The sequence below is a fragment of the Homo sapiens genome, chromosome 3 (genome assembly GCF_000001405.40).
Source record: "Homo sapiens chromosome 3, GRCh38.p14 Primary Assembly".
Classification (NCBI taxonomy): Eukaryota; Metazoa; Chordata; class Mammalia; order Primates; family Hominidae; genus Homo; species Homo sapiens.
In genome coordinates, this window is record NC_000003.12 from 176,813,869 (window position 1) to 176,835,341 (window position 21,473).

General features: G+C 39.3%; 1 long non-coding RNA gene across 1 annotated transcript, besides 2 other annotated features; it reads right to left on the bottom strand.

Moving 5' to 3' along the window:
• Window positions 1-286: 286 nt before the first annotated feature.
• On the bottom strand, window positions 287-3,133 carry LINC01209 (long intergenic non-protein coding RNA 1209). Its single transcript, NR_110819.1, has 2 exons — window positions 2,306-3,133; window positions 287-1,858 (listed from the first exon to the last, which is right to left on the bottom strand). It is a non-coding gene; the product is annotated as a long intergenic non-protein coding RNA 1209 (long non-coding RNA).
• Window positions 13,171-13,672: an enhancer, noted in NCBI's record as "H3K4me1 hESC enhancer chr3:176544827-176545328 (GRCh37/hg19 assembly coordinates)". NCBI's record gives its function as "activates a minimal SCP1, AML or CMV promoter by ChIP-STARR-seq in primed H9 embryonic stem cells {active_cell/tissue: H9 hESC(primed)}" and the evidence as "EXISTENCE:reporter gene assay evidence [ECO:0000049][PMID:30033119]".
• Window positions 13,673-14,172: an enhancer, noted in NCBI's record as "H3K4me1 hESC enhancer chr3:176545329-176545828 (GRCh37/hg19 assembly coordinates)". NCBI's record gives its function as "activates a minimal SCP1, AML or CMV promoter by ChIP-STARR-seq in naive and primed H9 embryonic stem cells {active_cell/tissue: H9 hESC(naive and primed)}" and the evidence as "EXISTENCE:reporter gene assay evidence [ECO:0000049][PMID:30033119]".

The window sequence follows — 21,473 nt, forward strand, 5'->3', positions numbered from 1 at the left end:
CCCGAGTAGCTGGGATTACAGGCATGAGCCACCATGCCCGGCTAATTTTGTATTTTTAGTAGAGACGGGGTTTCTCCATGCTGGTCAGGCTGGTCTCAAACTCCTGACCTCAGGTGATCTGGCCCCTCAGCCTCCCAAAGTGCTGGGATTACAGGCGTGAGCCACCGCGCCCAGCCCACCTTCCCTTCTTCTAATTCCCAGCACCGTGCTAGCACCATGCCATGTGCCTCTGGTAAACAATCAGGAAACTGAATTTCTAGAAATAAAAAATATGACAAGAATTTCATTTGGTTACGTAATTAGGGACTTTATTGGGATCTAATCTGTGCTGAGTACTGTACTAAATATTTTAATATATATTAGCCTTAATTTTCATGACACCACCACAAATTAGGATTTTTACAGATGAGGAAAAAAGCTTGAAGTTGAAAAGCTGACCAAAGTCACACAGCTGTCAGTGGTAAAACTAAGACTCGGATGCGGGGATATCTGACTACACCAGGCTGCCTCCTTAAAGATGCAAAGCAAGGGCCGGCAGCCCCTCTGTGCTGGCGGGTAGACATCCGGACAGGGCCTTCTCCACGGCCCCTAGCGAAGCCTGTGTTCTCCAGCGCCATCTACAGCCCTTGTTCATAAAGAGCCCGTTACACGGCCTCCTGTTTCCCCGGGGTAGCAGTTAGAGGTCAGCTGCTGCAACTTCAGCTGCCAAAGTTTTTTAAAAAGCAAATGAAATTAGAGTGGAAATTTGGAAATTCCCGTGCCACATGGCCTCTGCAGTGCTCCATCTGTCAAGAGTTGGTTTTGAAGACTTTAGAAACTGTCATTCATCTAACGGCTTTGCATTATTTCTTCTGGGAAAACCCATTGCCGGGCTCAAGGCATTATCAATTTCATGTCCTCCTTGCCCTAAACTTCCCAGAAAAAAAAAGAAAGAAAGAAACGTTGCTGTCAAACTTCCTGTGGAAGCATAATTAAAAATTCTGTTCTTAGACCATCTTCACTTACAAACGTACACACCGTATTTTCAAATGGAAAGGTGTTTCCTTCCGTTTCTTTTTTTCTTTTTCAGATGAGTTATGCCATTTTATAACAGCTCCCAAGAGATATTGAGGCCTGGAGAGAAAACTGCTTTTTCCAAGTTTTTTGCAAAGACATCAGTAGGGACTTTAAGTCAGGGTTGACCTAATACTAATAATCAGATAATTCCATTCTCTCAGCCCCAGCAAAGATTTCATGAGCTTTTCTAACTTAATAAAAACTAACAAAATATCTTAGAAATCCGTCTGCCTCTAGTGAAACAGTTTACTTGTTACCAACGCTACAAGGCTATCCCGAAGTCTAGGTTAAAATAATGAAAACAAATAGGGAGAAGGTGTTACTTCAAAGCATCTATCTCAACTTTTGCAGGGGGCTAATGATGGTCTGGATCTATGTTTTATTCAAATAAAGAATGGTTCAGGGCACATATGTCTTAGAATTGCACTTGGTTTCTTCATTATTTTATCTTCCTTCTTCTTGAATACAGACATAAAGAATTCTAGAGTCTCTCTGTAATTCTCTATAACATGAAAAAAAAGGCATTGCAAGTGTTTTGGGTATAATTGTATATTCTGAATTCATTCTTAAGTGTTGTGACCACAATTACTAATTGGATCTAAGAATTTCCTAGAGTTTTTCATTTTCTTTCCCAGATGCACAATCTTCAAAGCACAGATTTTACAGTCTAACAGACCTAGTTTTGACTTCATAAGTCCACACCCTTCCCAGCTGCATTATATCTATATCGTTACTAAACTTCCTAGAATATCAGTTTCTTCTTCCATATAATGAGGACAATTAGACCTATCCGCAAGTGATGCTGTGAAGATAAAATGAGATATATAAGTAAAATACCTCACATAGTATCTGGTATAGTCTAGTCTCAATAAATAGAATTTGCCCTACCTAAAACTATAGTTCCTGCTTTTTTACATTGTTTTAACATGGCAGGTTTTTAAAATAAGGCAACACAAAGCAAACATAGATTCTCTTTTTCTGTTTTCTCTCTTTGAAATCTTCGCTTTATGAAAAAGATCCTGTAATGCATGCCTATCATGTTTCCTTTCATGTAATAACTTAGATTGGTGATTTTCTCAACAATAATCATATCGAAATATAAATGAATAACTGCCATAATTCTGTTTTTGACAGATTTAAATAAAACGCCACATGAATATAAAGTCATTTTTCATATCTTCCTGTGGATGATGCTACGAGAATAAGCTTTCAAATAACACATGGAGAAAATGAAAACAAAATCACTCACTTTTAATTCGTTCCTTCTTCTAACAAGAGAAAGGCAGTAATCAAAATATAAAAAAAAATAAAAAAAGACAACATTATGAGCTAATTCTTGAGTATTCATAATTTCATAACAGCATAGTTACACTCTAAAAAGAGAATCTTGTTTTCAACTTTAGTAGTAAAACATAAACTGGAAAGAAATTGGGATTTAGTCCTGCCTCTACCATTAAGTCACATTATTATTTAGGGGACACCATTTATCTTGCTCTGAAATAAAACTGTAAATAAGCTCCCCCAGCTCTTGAGACAATAGCTCCCTGTGGCTAATGGAGACAATTAAATTTAGATCACAGTAACAAGTAGCCATGGTGGGGTGAGAGAAGAGTCACACGCTCTCTGTTCTTAGAAAAGGCAGCTTTTGACAAACATCCCGTTGTTTTTTGTTTTTGTTTTTGTTGAGACGGAGTCTCGCTCTGTGGCCCAGGCTGGAGTGCAGTGGCGCGATCTCCGCTCACTGCAAGCTCTGCCTTCTGGGTTCACGCCATTCTTCTGCCTCAGCCTCCCGAGTAGCTGGGACTACAGGCGCCCGCCACTACGCCCGGCTAATTTCTTTTTGTATTTTTAGTAGAGACGGGGTTTCACCATGTTAGCCAGGATGGTCTCAATCTCCTGACCTCATGATCCGCCCGCCTCGGCCTCCCAAAGTGCTGGGATTACAGGCGTGAGCCACCGCGCCTGGCGACAAACATCCTGTTTTATACCCTTAAGCTAGAATAGTTCTTGTGACGGGAGCCAAGAGAAGCCATGAGAGAACCCCCAACTCCAGCTCAGCCTTTTGGAAGGAACATCTGACAGACTTCTGGTTTTGGGATTGGGAAGCCACCCAATCAGAGTTCGACTATCTGGACCAATCAGAACGAAATATAAGCTTGACTCTTTTGTCTACGTAAAAGAACATGATTGGCGGGGCGCGGAGGCTCATGCCTGTAATCCCCGCAGTTTGGTGGGCCAAGGCCGGCAGAGGACGAGGGCGAGAGATCAAGACCATCTTGGCCAACATCTTGGCCAACATGGCGAAACCCTGTCTCTACTAAAAATACAAAAAATTAGCCGGACGTGGTGTCGGGCCCCTGTAGTCCCCCCTACTCGGGAGGCTTAGGCAGGAGAATGGCGTGAACCCGGAAGGCGGAGGTTGCAGTGAGCCGAGATCCCACCACTGCACTCCAGCCTGGGCAACAGAGCAAGACTCTGTCTCAAAAAAAAAAAAAAAAGAATATGATTGAGACATGGGGCAGGAAATTTTCCTGCTTAAGCCAAACTCTTCCTTTATTCTTTGGAGAGCACACCTTCACTTGTATTGAAGACCATGCCTCCCCAATCTGCAGATTGCGTTTCGTAGAAAATAAAGTTCTTCCTTTTTCCTCCACAAATCTCATGGCCTTTTGTTAACATTGCTGAATCTCATGCTAGAGCTTCTGTCCAGCTAGTGCAGGTGTTGGCCCACTAGCCCCATGAGCCAAACCCTGCGTGCTGCCTGTTTTTGTAAATAAAGGTTTATTGAAACACAACCACATCCACTCATTACGCATTGTCTACAGCGTCTATTGCACTGCATTGGCAAAGTTAAGTAGTTGCAACAAAGATGATTAGGCCCACAAAACCTAAAATATTTACTATTTGGTCCTTACATAAATTTTTCATTTTGATGAATTTCAATTTGACTACTTTTCCATGGTTTGTGCTTTCTATATTCTAGTTAAATAATCGATCCTAAAGTCACAAAGATTTCTATATTTTTCCTAGTTTTAGAGTTGTGGCTTTTACATTTAGTTCTACAATTAATTTCAAGTTACATTTGTGCATACTGTGAAACAAGAATTGACAATTTATTTTTGGTAATATTGATATCCAGTTGCTCCAGCAACATTTATTGAACATACTTTCCTTTCTTGTTGGATTGATTTAGCACCTTTGTTGAAAATTAATTGGCCATGTATTTGTGGTCTATTTCTCAACTCTATTGTGTTCCACTAATTTGTGTCTCACCTTATGCCAATACTATATGGCAGTGATTATTGTGGAAATACAGAAATCCTTGAAAACAGGTACGGTAAGTTCTACAACTTTGTTCTTTTTCAAAATCATTTTGGCTATTATAAATCTTTTGAATTGCTGTATAAATTTTAGAATCAGCTTGTCCAATTCTAAAAACATTTTTATTTTTAAACTTTATTTTTAATTAACAAATAAAAATTGTATATATTTATCATGTACAATATATGGTTTTAAAATATGTATACATGCAGCATGACTAAATTGAGCTAAAAACACCTTGCTGGGATACTAGTGGGAATTGCATTGAATCTATGCTGTATATCAATTTGGAGAAAATTGACATCTTAACAATATGAATGTTTTAATCCATGGACAAGATACAAATCTTCATCTATTTGTATTTTCTGTCTTTTTTTTTTTTTTTTTTTTTTTTTTGGAGAGACGAGGTCTTGCTACATTGCCCAGGCTGGTCTCAAACTCCCAACCTCAAGCAACCCAGCAATCCTCCTGCTTTGGCCTCCCCATGTGCTGGGATTACAGGTGTAAGCCACTGTGCTCAGCCTATTTTCTTAAATTATTTCAACAATGTTTTATGGTCTACGGTACACATGTTTTTACATATTTTGTTAAATTTTCCCCTAATAATTTCATGTTTCTGAATGCTTTTGCTAAAGGTTTTGGTTTTTTATTTTTAAATAGATCATGTCTAGCATATAGAAATATAATTATCTGAGTATACCTCCCTTGTATTTTCTGACCTTGCTGTTTTGTAAATCACTTAGGATTATCTATGTATGCAATGTCATCATTTAGTAAAGGCAGATTTACTGCCTTCTTTCCAATATGAAGATATTTTATGTCTTTGCCTTGCCTTATTATATGACTAGGACCTCTAGTGCAATACTGAACAGAGTGATCAGAACAGACGTTCTTGTCTTGTTCCTGATGGTAGGAGGAAAGCATTCAGTCTTTCACCATTAAATATGATGCCAGCCCTTTATTAGGTTGAGAAAATTCTCTTCAGTTCTTAATTTGCCATGACCTATCAAATGGTTGTTTAATTTTTTCAAATGTCTTTTTTCTGCATCTTTTACGTTGATCATGTGAATTTCCTCATTACTAATGTTAATATGGTGAATACATTGATTTTTTTCATGTATAACTTCCTGCGATAAACAGTAACTATGTACTGCTTTAGCTACATTTTTTAAATTTTGCTATATTATGCTTTATTTTTATTCAGTTCAAAATATTTTCAAATTTTCTCTATTTTTTTACTTTAGCCATGGGTTGTTTAGAAGTATGTTAATTTCCAAATATTTGGGGATTTCACAAATGTATTACTATTTCTAACACAATTCCACTGAGATCTGAGAGCCTATATTGCATGACTCCAATCCTTTAAAATTTATTGAGACATGTTTTAATGGCCTAACATATAATCTATCTGAATGCCCACATATGCTTTTTAAAAATGTGTATTCTTCTGTTGTGGTGTGGAATATAAATGTCAAATAGATTAAGTTAGCTGACAGTATTGTCTAAATCTTATATATCTTATTGAGTTTAAGTCTTTTCATTTTATCAATTACTGGGATAAGAGTGTTGAAATTACTAACTGTAATTCTTACTTTGTCACCGTTTTTGAGTTCTGTAAGTTTTTGTTTCATATATTTTGCAGCTCTGTTATTATTTAGGATTGCTATGTCTTCATGAATAAAATTTTTATCATTATAAACTGTTCTTCCTTATCCCTGATAATATTCCTGTTTAGAATTTTACTTTGATATTAATATTATCATCTTGGCTTTCTTAGAATTTACATGCTTTTTTAGTCCTTTACCTTTAATTGCTCTGTGTGTTTACATTTTAGTTTAGCTTCTTTAGAGTGCATATATATTTGGGTCTTGTTTTTTTATGTAGTCTGTCAATTTAGCTTTAAAATGGAGTATTTAAACCATTTATATTTAATGTAATTACTGATGCAGTTGAGATGAAAGAACTGTGTGTTTTCTCTCATCTCCAATACTCTGTGCTTCCACATTATTGCATGTGACAAGTACGTTTTAAATTTCAAAGATCATCCATATCCATTATCCCATTGATCTTCACACCAATCTGTGAAGAAAACAGATCGGGTCCTATGATGCCTATTTTCAGATAAAAAAAATTACTGTCCAAAGAGTTAAATAAAGCTTTTCCAAAATCATGCAATAAATTGTGTCAAAATGAGCATTAGACAATAAATGGTCAAATTTTTATTCTACCACTCATTCTATGACATCAACAATTATATTACTTTCTTCTTAACAATTTATTGACTATGTTCTGATTAAATAAACTTTACAGGCGTATTTTCCAAAGCTAATCAAAGCATATTAAAAAACTAATAATGGCAAAATATTTATAAGGAGAAAGTGATACAGCAGTCATTTTAAAATGAGCAGTGCATAAAACAAACATTCAATGATACATTACTAATAAATTTTCTCATACATAAAATGATATATATCACATTCTCCACAGGTTTGTATAAGTCATTTAAAGCAAACTCAGCAGCAAGCAAAGCTGAAGGCTATCCTCAAATTCTAGCCTCCCCCACCCCACCCCAGAAGATCAATGTGAATGATTTTCTGTAGAAGTAAATTTATACCCAGTACAATCTATAAGAGTTTCAAGCACAAAAGACTGGCCGTGCTCAAGGAAAACAGAATCTCTGAGTAGACTGCCTGGCAGCCCCAGATAATAATTTAGTGTTTTGGGGTCAACCACTCAAAACATTACATTTCCTTGGCATGCACACTGACATCTTAGGCTTTAACTGAGCATACAGAGCCCTACACGTCATTACCAGACCAGGAAAATAGCCACAGTTCTCATGATGAAAGGATTCAAATGAACTTTATTTGAAAATAAATAAAGTATAAAATTAAGGGTGCCATTTTATACTGGATCCTGGATCCCCAAAAGGAGGGAAATACTCAGGAGCAGACAGTGCAGTGCTTCTACTCTGCATTTCATTGCAAGGCAGCCCAAAGTCAATCAGCCCATTTTGTAATCAGCCCATCCCTAATGGGAGTCTCATCTCTCAGTGAGGGGTGAGTATGTTTCCTTATCTTCCAGGTGGCCAAGAGCATGCTTCTCTGATCCGAGTGTGCAAAGAGTCAAGTATCCCTCCGTAACTACTATTAGCCATCTTCAAGGGATGGCCAATGAATATATATATATATATTTCCTACCTAGTTATTACACACCAAAGCTCTCTCATAATGTGAAGTAATTTCTGATACCCCCAAAACTCAAAACCGTCAGATAATGCAATGCAAAACAGAACAGAGCCTTTGATTTTGAGAGGAATCTATCTGCTTTTAATTCCTGGGGTTTCATAAGGAAAACAGAAGTTTTTTTCCAAAATGGGGTCTGTGGCGCCTCTTCTGTTTTTCCCAAGGAGTCCCAGGCTACCAGAAATTATCTCAGGGCCTCTCATGTGTGCATTAAGAGTGGCAAGACATGTAATCCCAGCACTTTGGGAGGCCGAGGCGGGCGGATCACGAGGTCAGGAGATCGAGACCACCCTGGCTAACACGGTGAAACCCCGTCTCTACTAAAAATACAAAAAAATTAGCCAGGCGTGGTGGTGGGCGCCTGTAGTCCCAGCTACTCGGGAGACTGAGGCAGGAGAATGGCGTGAACACGGAAGGCGGAGCTTGCAGTGAGCCGAGATCGCACCACTGCACTCCAGCCTGGGCGACAGAGCAAGACTCTGTCTCAAAAAAAAAAAAAAAGTGGCAAGACAATAAAAACGGAGAAAAATAATTCAGTCAACTGAGAAGAAAAAGCCTTTTCCAGAAAAACAAGTTCCAAGAAGAGAAAAACATAAAGGCCTTTTAAATATATCTATAGCTTGTTTATCCACTTTTAATTAAGTTGACTTCTAACCATAGTGCTCTTTAAAAAAAAAAAAAAGAAAGAAATCCTTTCAGATCTCTTATTACCCGACTTTAGCCATGCCAAGCAGCCAATATTTCTAGTTTCTGAGATTTACCAGAGGTAACCTCTTAGGTGCTTAGAGAAAGGAAAATTTAAGACAGTCCGTGGAGGAGAACAGAATAGACAAAGTCACGCAGATACTAAACCAGAAACGACTTACTTCCTAGGTGGGGAATCAAACCCAGACCACCACTGTGAAAGTGCAAAAGCCCTAACTACTGAGTTACAGCATAGAACAATCTTCAGTTCCTTTCGGAGAAAGAGTCTAGAGTAGTTAATTTTGAGCTTGCAAAGGCTTTTAACTATTTAATATAATTTGTAGAGCTGACTATGACATGAACCCTAAAATTCCTATTCCCTGGAAGGTGGAGACGAAGAGACAGTACTGCCATGTGATTAAAAGGTCAAGTTCCCAAGGACCTAAAACAAGGTGGAGACTTCATCCAGCTTTTCTGTTTGTTTCAGGGACCTGCAGCCAAGCTTGTTACTGACCAGCTTGCTGGGTGGTCTTGAAAAGCGGGCTTACAGGTGTTCTAAGCCCGTGTTTTATCCTAAAGTACCCCTCAACACAGAAAAACAAATTCATAGCACAAAATACACCAGCTTAAGGCTAGCCTTAGAATTCTTTTTCGCATTAATCAAAACTTTACAGAGGAAATAAACACTGGGTTTTTTTTTTTTCTTTTTCACCATTCATTCAACCATTTGCAAAGAGAGAGAGAGAGAGAGAGAGAGAAGCCAGAAATCTGACTGGTAAGAAATTCTTACCCTTTCGCCGGCATGCCAGGCTTCTGGGTTCCCTTTCCCTGACCGGCCCTAGTGATCCTGCCTGCAGCACCATCGCCCTGGGGGCCAAGCCTCATCATAAAGAAAAATTATTATTTTTTGTTCTGGCTAGAGCAAAATATGTGTGATAAAACATAGACATTAGCCACTCTGCTTAGCACCCAACATCAAACCGGCAAGGCTTAAATTTGCCCCCAGATAGGCCCCTTCTTTAATCCAACCTTCCACTTGGAGTTTCAACATGTCGTCCCTGGGCAAGATGGTCATCCTGAGTAATAGAAAAGATAAGAAAGAGAAAGGAAAAGCACAGAACGAAAGTATCGCCTGTGGCAGGGTGGGGAAGTCGAAATGATCAGGGAGGCCAGAGGAAGCCCCCCCATTGCAGCGACACTGGAAAGTTCAGGCGGCTGCGGCTGTTGTCATGAAGGGATTTTTTCCAGCAGTCCAGTCAGCTGTCAGGTTTCCCTTTTTAGAAAGGAAAAAGCTCCCCATGTCCCACAATCCTGTACATGCCTAACCCTGTCACCCACAGCCATCAGCGAAGAGTGCAAGGCAGATTAATCCAAAGAGAATTAACATCCCATAGTGCCGAACCTGTTCTTAAAGGGACTTTACTGAGAGGGACCTCTAACCCCCTAAATCTTATAAGGGACTCTAACCCTCCTAAGTCAGGCCTCTAACCTGAGGTCGGTCAAGCGTCCTTGCCTTTTATTAAGAGGGGTCTCTAACCCACTCTGTCTTAGGAGAGACTCTAACTCCCCTAAGTTGGGCCTTTAATGCAATCCCATTCTGTACCCAGGTATCCTATCACTTACGCAAAGTCACCCAATCAGTGCTCCAGTCTATTTCCTTTGGGTCGGGGGGCCTCCTCAGTATTGTCTCTTTTGTGGTTTGCGAGAAAGATGTTACTGGACCCCAACACTTACCCAAAGTTAGCCTTTGGGTCAGGGTTTCCGCAGTATAGTCACTTCTGTGGCCGCCAGAAATACATTACAGGACCCCAACACTTATTCTAAGGTAGCCGTTAGGTCAGGGTTTCTGCACTATAGGCCATTCTGTGGTTGCCAGAAATATGTTACAGGAAAGGGGACCCGATCCAGACCCCAAGAGAGGGTTCTTGGATCTCTCGCAAGAAATAATTCAGGGTGAGTCCGAAGTGCAAAGTGAAAGCAAGTTTATTAAGAAAGTAAAGGAATAGGCCGGGCGCGGTGGCTCACGCCTGTAATCCCAGCACTTTGGGAGGCCGAGGCGGGCGGATCACGAGGTCAGGAGATCGAGACCATCCTGGCTAACACGGTGAAACCCCGTCTCTACTAAAAATACAAAAAATTAGCCGGGCGTGGTGGTGGGCGCCTGTAGTCCCAGCTACTCGGGAGGCTGAGGCAGGAGAATGGCATGAACCCAAGAGGCGGAGCTTGCAGTGAGCCGGGATAGCGCCACTGCAGTCCAGCTTGGGCGAAAGAGTGAGACTCCGTCTCAAAAAAAAAAAAAAAAAAAAAAAAGAAAGTAAAGGAATAAAAGAATGGCTACTCCATAGACAGAGCAGCCTAGACACCTTTTTGGATGTATGTCTTCTTAGCTCATAAGACCATTTATTTTCTATTAAAATTCAAGCGTCTGTTAATCGAGGCTTTTTTTTTTTTTTTTTTTTTTGCTGTTACTATTGTTATTATTTTCTTTCTTTCTTTTTCTTTTTTTTTTTTTTTTTGGTCTGATAGCAGATGGCATAGATTCTGATTAACTATATGTAGATGATTTCGATTATTTGTTTGATTTTCCCAGTCACTGATACACAATATAAAAATCTGCCACTGGATTCTGATATATCAGAAAAACATATATAAAGAAAGTGTAACTTAACGTTAAAAGATAGAATCCAAGGCAGTAACTTCTCTTAATCACAGGAAACATATTAGGTATTTTCTTGGCCTGGCTCCTCTGGAAATTCCGGGACCTCTGAAGCAAGAATTAAAATGCTAACACTTTATTTGGAAAGCAGAAACCCAAAATGGTGAGAGTAAAGAAAAGAGGGAAGGAAGGCAAGGGAAGATAAGATGCAAAGATATGCAATGTGTGACTTTGCTGGCTACATTTCACAACTGTAATGAAAAGAGACATGTATGCATATTTATTCAGCACATGGAGAAGGTTGCAAGGAAGACCTGAACGAGAATAGGTTTTATTTATTAACCACTTACTAAGAAAAGAAGTTAATATCAATATTGTCTCAAAGGCTATATTGTTCAGGAACTTCTGAACAATATTGTTTAGTTTAGGAACTTCTGAAATTCACTTATTCAACATATTTCTCAACAGATTATAGTCAATATATTTCTCAATACATTATATATTCAATATATTTCTCAGTACATTATAATATTCAGATAAGATTCAGATTGAATGATGATGAGATAATGGAAAGCAAACAACAATAAAAACTTCAAAGAAATCCTTTTCAATTTTACAAGAGGAAGATTATGTGATTGGTATGACATTCAAAGAAGATATCAAGGCAATTGGTATTTTCAGAAAACTTCAGACATGAAATATGTAAGGAAAAAATACCACCAAGGAATTTCTAATTAAAACCTTTCTTTTTGATCTAAAAATTTTCTCTTCACTGCAGCAGTAAATATTTATGAGCATTAGAAAGCCCAATATTTACTGGGTTAATTGCTTTTTTAACAAGTGAACACTTTTAGAGAGGTCTTCTTAGGCCCAATTTTGTTCTCTTGAGCTACTCACCACTCATACACACCATCAAATAAATGGGCCACTCAAGCATTTTTCTAGTATGTGAGCCTCTCCACCGCATATCACACCTGATTAGATAAAGAAAACTCAACTAACACATGAAGAACTAGTCTACAGACAGCTCTGTGCCAATCCCATTTAACAGTTATGTAAGAAAGGTTTAAACTGTGAGTACATTCAAAGAAGGCACCATACGCCTTCCTAGGGAATTAGAATTGACTGAGAAAATGGGTCAATTAGATTGAGACACTGAACTTTCCAGATTCATGTGTATTTGGAGCCTTGTCAGGGAGATCTGGCAAATTAGGTAGAGAAAAATTTAAGAGGTCCAGAGAGAAAAACGGTCTCTGCCAGCCTGCAAGGAATAAGATATGGTAACGGTGCTGCATCCAATTCGATAACTGTCCAGGTTCTGGGACTAGCCCTTTATAAGAAGAGTAACCACACAATTTGTCTTCTAAGCTTGGTGTGTTAGTTGCCTAGGGCTGCCATAACAAATTACACAAACTTAGTGACTTAAAACAGCAAAAACTCTTTCTCTCACATTTCCAGACGTGACCACTGGGCCAAAATCATGGCGGCAGCAATTAGCTGGGCGTGGTGGCAGGCGCCTGCAGTCCCAGCTGCTCGGGAGGCTGAGGCAGGAAAATGGCGTGAACCCGGGAGGCGGAGCTTGCAGTGAGCCGAGATCGCGCCACTGCACTCCAGGCTGGGCGACAGAGCGAGACTCCATCTCAAAAAAAAAAAATCATGGCGGCAGCAGGGCCACCCTCCATCTGGAAGCTCTAGGAGAAAATCAGCCTCTTACCTCTCTGAAAGTTTTTGGTAGCTGCCAGCATTCCTTATCTTGTGGCCATACGGCTCCCATTTCTGCGTACCAAGCCCTCCTCTGCCTCTCTCTTACAAGGAGATATATAATTGCCTTTAGAGCCCAGTGGGAGAATCCAGGATAACCTCTCCATATCAAAATTTTTAATAATCGCATCTACAAAGACCTTTTTTCCCTATAAGTTAACATTTACAGGTTACAGGAATTAGGATCAGATATCTTTTGGAGACTTTCTATCATCTACACCAGGACATCTTTGAAAGTAAAAAAGAAGGGCTAATTTGTAACACTTCAAGGATAAAAGACAAAATCTAGGTCTGGCAAAGGCATAAGAATGATACAATGGACTTTGGGGACTTGGGAAGGGTGCGGGGGTGGCGAGGGAAAAAAGACTACAAATAGGGTGCAGTGTACACTGCTTGGGTGATGGGTACACCAAAATCTCACAAATCACCACTAAAGAATTTATTCATGTAACCAAATACCACCTGTACTCCAATAACCTATAGAAAAATAAAATTTAAAAAAATCTAGGTCTGACCCAGGCAATCTGGATATATGGTCTCCCTGGAGTCCTAAATGAACTTCTAGACCCTGGGCCATAACAAAATCAGTTATCTCACCCCTGCAATGATTATCAATGTTCTCCCTGAAGCTACCATAGCGAACTGATGCCAAATTCACTTTCTGCCCCTGAATTTTAAAAGAGGTCGCCATATCTTTCTGATGCATTCTCTTTTTAAAAAAAGAGAATTTTTCCGACGGGTGTTTTTCCAAAGGGCTTAAAAAACGGCGCACCACGAGATTATATTCCGCACCTGGCTCGGAGGGTCCTACGCCCACGGAGTCTCGCTGATTGCTAGCACAGCAGTCTGACATCAAACTGCAAGGCGGCAGCGAGGCTGGGGGAGGGACGCCCGCCATTGCCCAGGCTTGCTTAGGTAAACAAAGCAGCCTGGAAGCTCCAACTGGGTGGAGCCCACCACAGCTCAAGGAGGCCTGCCTGCCTCTGTAGGCTCCACCTCTGGGAGCAGGGCACAGACAAACCAAAAGACAGCAGTAACCTCTGCAGACTTAAATGTCCCTGTCTGAAAGCTTTGAAGAGAGCAGTGGTTCTCCCAGCACACAGCTGGAGATCTGAGAACGGGCAGACTGCCTCCTCAAGTGGGTCCCTGACCCCTGACCCCCGAGCAGCCTAACTGGGAGGCACCCCCCAGCAGGGGCACACTGACACCTCACACGGCAGGGTATTCCAACAGACCTGCAGCTGAGGGTCCTGTCTGTTAGAAGGAAAACTAACAAACAGAAAGGACATCCACACCAAAAACCCATCTGTACATCACCATCATCAAAGACCAAAAGTAGATAAAACCACAAAGATGGGGAAAAAACAGAACAGAAAAACTGGAAACTCTAAAAAGCAGAGTGCCTCTCCTCCTCCAAAGGAATGCAGTTCCTCACCAGCAACGGAACAAAGCTGGATGGAGAATGACTTTGACGAGCTGAGAGAAGAAGGCTTCAGACGATCAAATTACTCTGAGCTACGGGAGGACATTCAAACCAAAGGCAAAGAAGTTGAAACCTTTGAAAAAAATTTAGAAGAATGTGTAACTAGCATAACCAATACAGAGAAGTGTTTAAAGGAGCTGAAGGAGCTGAAAACCAAGGCTCGAGAACTACGTGAAGAATGCAGAAGCCTCAGGAACCGATGTGATCAACTGGAAGAAAGGGTATCAGTGATGGAAGATGAAATGAATGAAATGAAGCGAGAAGGGAAGTTTAGAGAAAAAAGAATAAAAAGAAACGAGCAAAGCCTCCAAGAAATATGGGACTATGTGAAAAGACCAAATCTACGTCTAATTGGTGTACCTGAAAGTGATGGGGAGAATGGAACCAAGTTGGAAAACACTCTGCAGGATATTATCCAGGAGAACTTCCCCAACCTAGCAAGGCAGGCAAACATTCAAATTCAGGAAATACAGAGAACGCCACAAAGATACTCCTCGAGAAGAGCAACTCCAAGACACATAATTGTCAGATTCACCAAAGTTGAAATGAAGGAAAAAATGTTAAGGGCAGCCAGAGAGAAAGGTCGGGTTACCCTCAAAGGGAAGCCCATCAGACTAACAGTGGATCTCTCAGCAGAAACCCTACAAGCCAGAAGAGAGTGGGGGCCAATATTCAACATTCTTAAAGAAAAGAATTTTCAACCCAGAATTTCATATCCAGCCAAACTAAGCTTCATAAGTGAAGGAGAAATAAAGCACTTTACAGACAAGCAAATGCTGAGAGATTTTGTCACCACCAGGCCTGCCCTAAAAGAGCTCCTGAAGGAAGCGCTAAACATGGAAAGGAACAACCGGTACCAGCTGCTGCAAAATCATGCCAAAATGTAAAGACCATCGAGACTAGGAAGAAACTGCATCAACTAACGAGCAAAATAACCAGCTAACGTCATAATGACAGGATCAAATTCACACATAACAATATTAACTTTAAACGTAAATGGACTAAATGCTCCATTTAAAAGACACAGACTGGCAAATTGGATAAAGAGTCAAGACCCATCAGTGTGCTGTATTCAGGAAACCCATCTCACGTGCAGAGACACACATAGGCTCAAAATAAAAGGATGGAGGAAGATCTACCAAGCAAATGGAAAACAAAAAAAGGCAGGGGTTGCAATCCTAGTCTCTGATAAAACAGACTTTAAACCAACAAAGATCAAAAGAGACAAAGAAGGCCATTACATAATGGTAAAGGGATCAATTCAACAAGAGGAGCTAACTATCCTAAATATATATGCACCCAATACAGGAGCACCCAGATTCATAAAGCAAGTCCTGAGTGACCTACAAAGAGACTTAGACTCCCACACATTAATAATGGGAGACTTTAACACCCAACTGTCAACATTAGACAGATCAATGCGACAGAAAGTCAACAAGGATACCCAGGAATTGAACTCAGCTCTGCACCAAGCGGACCTAAGAGACATCTACAGAACTCTCCACCCCAAATCAACAGAATATACATTTTTTTCAGCACCACACCACACCTATTCCAAAATTGACCACATACTTGGAAGTAAAGCTCTCCTAAGCAAATGTAAAAGAACAGAAATTATAACAAACTATCTCTCAGACCACAGTGCAATCAAACTAGAACTCAGGATTAAGAATCTCACTCAAAACTGCTCAACTACATGGAAACTGAACAACCTGCTCCTGAATGACTACTGGATACATAACAAAATGAAGGCAGAAATAAAGATGTTCTTTGAAACCAATGAGAACAAAGACACAACATATCAGAATCTCTGGGACGCATTCAAAGCAGTGTGTAGAGGGAAATTTATAGCACTAAATGCCCACAAGAGAAAGCAGGAAAGATCCAAAATTGACACCCTAACATCACAATTAAAAGAACTAGAAAAGCAAGAGCAAACACATTCAAAAAGAACTAGCAGAAGGCAAGAAATAACTAAAGTCAGAGCAGAACTGAAGGAAATAGAGACACAAAAAACCCTTCAAAAAATTAATGAATCCAGGAGCTGGTTTTTTGAAAGGATCAACAAAATAGACCGCTAGCAAGACTAATAAAGAAAAAAAGAGAGAAGAATCAAATAGACTCAATAAAGAATGATAAAGGGGATATCACCACTGATCCCACAGAAATACAAACTACCATAAGAGAATACTACAAACACCTCTATGCAAATAAACTAGAAAATCTAGAAGAAATGGATAAATTCCTCGACGCATACACTCTCCCAAGACTAAACCAGGAAGAAGTTGAATCTCTGAATAGACCAATAACAGGCTCTGAAATTGTGGCAATAATCAATAGCTTACCAACCAAAAAGAGTCCAGAACCAGATGGATTCACAGCCGAATTCTACCAGAGGGACAAGGAGGAACTTGTACCATTCCTTCTGAAACTATTCCAATCAATAGAAAAAGAGGGAATCCTCCCTAACTTATTTTATGAGGCCAGCGTCATTCTGATACCAAAGCCGGGCGGAGACACAACCAAAAAAGAGAATTTTAGACCAATATCCTTGATGAACATCGATGCAAAAATCCTCAATAAAATACTGGCAAAATGAATCCAGCAGCACATCAAAAAGCTTATCCACCATGATCAAGTGAGCTTCATCCCTGGGATGCAAGGCTGGTTCAATATACGCAAATCAATAAATGTAATCCAGCATATAAACAGAGCCAAAGACAAAAACCACATGATTATCTCAATAGATGCAGAAAAGGCCTTTGACAAAATTCAACAACCTTCATGCTAAAAATTCTCAATAAATTAGGTATTGATGGGATGTATTTCAAAATAATAAGAGCTAGCTATGACAAACCCACAGCCAATATCATACTGAATGGGCAAAAACTGGAAGCATTCCCTTTGAAAACTGGCACAAGACAGGGATGCCCTCTCTCACCACTCCTATTCAACATAGTGTTGGAAGTTCTGGCCAGGGCAATTAGGCAGGAGAAGGAAATAAAGGGTATTCAATTAGGAAAAGAGGAAGTCAAATTGTCCCTGTTTGCAGACGACATGATTGTATATCTAGAAAACCCCATTGTCTCAGCCCAAAATCTCCTTAAGCTGATAAGCAACTTCAGCAAAGTCTCAGGATACAAAATCAATGTACAAAAATCACAAGCATTCTTATACACTAATAACAGACAAACAAAGAGCCAAATCATGAGTGAACTCCCATTCACAATTGCTTCAAAGAGAATAAAATACCTAGGAATCCAACTTACAAGGGATGGGAAGGACCTCTTCAAGGAGAACTACAAACCACTGCTCAAGGAAATAAAAGAGGATACAAACAAATGGAAGAACATTCCATGCTCATGGGTAGGAAGAATCAATATCGTGAAAATGGCCATACTGCCCAAGGTAATTTACAGATTCAATGCCATCCCCATCAAGCTACCAATGACTTTCTTCACAGAATTGGAAAAAACTACTTTAAAGTTCATATGGAACCAAAAAAGAGCCCGCATCGCCAAGTCAATCCTAAGCCAAAAGAACAAAGCTGGAGGCATCACACTACCTGACTTCAAACTATACTACAAGGCTACAGTAACCAAAACAGCATGGTACTGGTACCAAAACAGAGATATAGATCAATGGAACAGAACAAAGCCCTCAGAAATAATGCCGCATATCTACAACTATCTGATCTTTGACAAACCTCAGAAAAACAAGCAATGGGGAAAGGATTCCCTATTTAATAAATGGTGCTGGGAAAACTGGCTAGCCATATGTAGAAAGCTGAAACTGGATCCCTTCCTTACACCTTATACAAAAATCAATTCAAGATGGATTAAAGACTTAAACGTTAGACCTAAAACCATAAAAACCCTAGATGCCATTCAGGACATAAACCATAAAAATGCCATTCAGGACATAGGCATGGGCAAGGACTTCATGTCTAAAACACCAAAAGCAATGGCAACAGAAGACAAAATTGACAAATGGGATCTAATTAAACTAAAGAGCTTCTGCACAGCAAAAGAAACTACCATCAGAGTCAACAGGCAACCTACAAAATGGGAGAAAATTTTCGCAACCTACTCATCTGATAAAGGGCTAATATCCAGAATCTACAATGAACTCAAACAAATTTACAAGAAAAAAACAAACAACCCCATCAAAAAGTGGGCAAAGGACATGAACAGACACTTCTCAAAAGAAGACATTTATGCAGCCAAATAACACATGAAAAAATGCTCACCATCACTGGCCATCAGAGAAATGCAAATCAAAACCACAATGAGATACCATCTCACACCAGTTAGAATGGCGATCATTAAAAAGTCAGGAAACAACAGGTGCTGGAGAAGATGTGGAGAAATAGGAACACTTTTACACTGTTGGTGGGACTGTAAACTGGTTCAACCATTGTGGAAGTCAGTGTGGTGATTCCTCGGGGATCTAGAACTAGAAATACCATTTGACCCAGCCATCACATTACTGGGTATATACCCAAAGGACTATAAATCATGCTGCTATAAAGACACATGCACACGTATGTTTATTACGGCATTATTCACAATAGCAAAGACTTGGAAACAACCCAAATGTCCAACAATGATAGACTGGATTAAGAAAATGTGGCACATATACACCATGGAATACTATGCAGCCATAAAAAAATGATGAGTTCATGTCCTTTGTAGGGACATGGATGAAGCTAGAAATCATCATTGTCAGTAAACTACTGCAAGAACAAAAAACCAAACTCCGCATATTCTCACTCATAGGTGGGAATTGAAAAATGAGATCACATGGACACAGGAAGGGGAACATCACACTCTGGGGACTGTTGTGGGGTGGGGGGAGGGGGGAGGGATAGCATTGGGAGATATACCTAATGCTAGATGACGAGTTAGTGGGTGCAGCGCACCAGTATGGCACATGTATACATATGTAACTAACCTGCACAATGTGCACATGTACCCTAAAACTTAAAGTACAATAATAAAAAAATAATAATAATAATTAGAGTAATACTTAATAAATGAGTAAAATTCTTTTTAAATTTTTGGTTTGACATAGCCAGACAACTTATTCAACTCTTCATTTCACTTTATAGTAGATACAAGATGGCTGGAAAGAGATAACCTGACAAATACATTTATGTGATAAGCGATGAAATAAAATGTTCTTAAGAAAAAAAAAAAGATCTTAATTGGCTTTTTGAAATTTTTTTTAATGTTTATGAATACATAGTAGGTATATATATTTATGGGGTACATGATATATTTTGATACAGGTGTATGGGGATGATTCATGGGTATAAAATATAATTATATACAATTAATAAGATCTATTATTTGATAGTACCACACAGTAACTACAGCCAGCAATAATTTGTTGTATATTTTAAAATAACTGAGGGAGTACAATTAGAATGTTCATAACAAAGAAATGATGAATGCTAGAGGTGATGGATACCCCCATTTAACCTGATATGATCATTACACATCTCATTTGTTTTTATAAAACCAGTATGAGTTTCAGTGCTTTGCCATCAAACAGCCATTTATAAGACACAGGACAAAATTCAAGAGTCAAGTTTCCTTGCCTCTTCCATTTTTAAACATATGGTGCCTTCCTTGAATATACCCACAGTTTAAGCCTTTCCTATATAACTGTTAAATGACATACTTGAATTTCTGTTTAATAAGTAAGCAAATAATAAATATATCTTCCAGATGTCAGCAAATAAGTGAGGAGAAAATATATAATGACAGAAAGACTTTTCAATTTTTCATGAAACGGTATCAACCAGGCGTCTGCCTTTTCACTAGCTAAGTTAACGTTACCTTCATTAGACTACATGCAAATCCAGTAACTTTACTTTCAGTGACTGTGACATAAAAGATAACAGAAACTCTTCTGCACCACATTGCTTACTTTTACAATAATTCAAGTATTGGGTACCAGAAACCATTACCAACAAGCAAGTTCCAGTACCTTTGGAGGCACAAACGAACAAATGACACTCTCTGGAGTAACTTCCAATATATTTGCACCATGAAAAATATAAGAATCTCAGAATATACATAAATCAAAAGAAAGTTTTTATCTACATTACCAGAGATTTTAACACTAAATCTACTGAATATTTTCCTTACCAACACAATAATCTATGCCACTGAACATTACTATTTGGCTGGTCACTAATATGGTGGCCTATAATGCAAAGAGCCATTCCAATAAAACCTTCCCACTATGACTGCACTGCTCTTAATGGTTTTATTTCTAGGAACATTGCATGGCAGGAGATGCCACTTCCCTCTTCCTCCTATCAGACTTTGCATTTCTTTGATATAAAGCACCATTCATAACCATCTTTTTGTTTTCTCCCATTCCTTCCCTTTGCAATAACAAAGGTTAGGATTGTTGGATAATTCAACATAATGTCAAAGTACTAAGTCAGTGCCGCATTTTTAGCTGAACAACCCAGAATTTTCACTCAAAGGAAGCCACGTTAATCTTACAAAATCAGGGAATCTTCAAGGAAAAATAGGGCAGGTGCTGTGTAAAAGAAAACGAACTGCCTCTTTTCTTGAGAAGACAATTTGACATACATTTCTTGAGCCTACTCAACACCAGACACTATTCTAGGACAGAGATAAAGTCTCTCTCCATTAGGCATTTGCAAACACTTAGAGGAAACAAACAGAAAAAAATAAAATTTTTTAGGTTGTCAAATCCAAAACAGAAGACTATGTGTTTCTTATGTACTAATGAATCCTAAGTCCTTAAAACATAATAAAGACTCAATAAACAGTTTCCAAAATAAAAAAATCAAGTAGTACATCATGCATAATGTCACATGAATAGTTACCTTTAGAAAGACTTAGAAATGTCTATAAGAGGTCGCGCGGTGGCTCATGCCTGTAATCCCAGCACTTTGGGAAGCCGAGGTGGCGGATCACCTGAGGTCAGAAGTTTGAGACCAGCCTGGCCAATGTGGTGAAACCCTGTCTCTACTAAAAATGCAAAAATTAGCTGGGCATGGTGGCGGGTGCCTGTAATCCCAGCTACTCAGGAGTCTGAGGTAGGAGAATTGCCTGAACCCAGGAGACGGAGGTTGCAGTGAGCTTAGATTGTGCCACTGCACTCCAGCCTGGGCAACAGAGCAAGACTTTGTCTCAAAAACAAAAAAAAGAGAGAGAGAGAGAAAGAAAAAAATGTCTACAAGAGTTCAGAAGGTGAGAGAAATTACTCTGGTTGGGGAGTT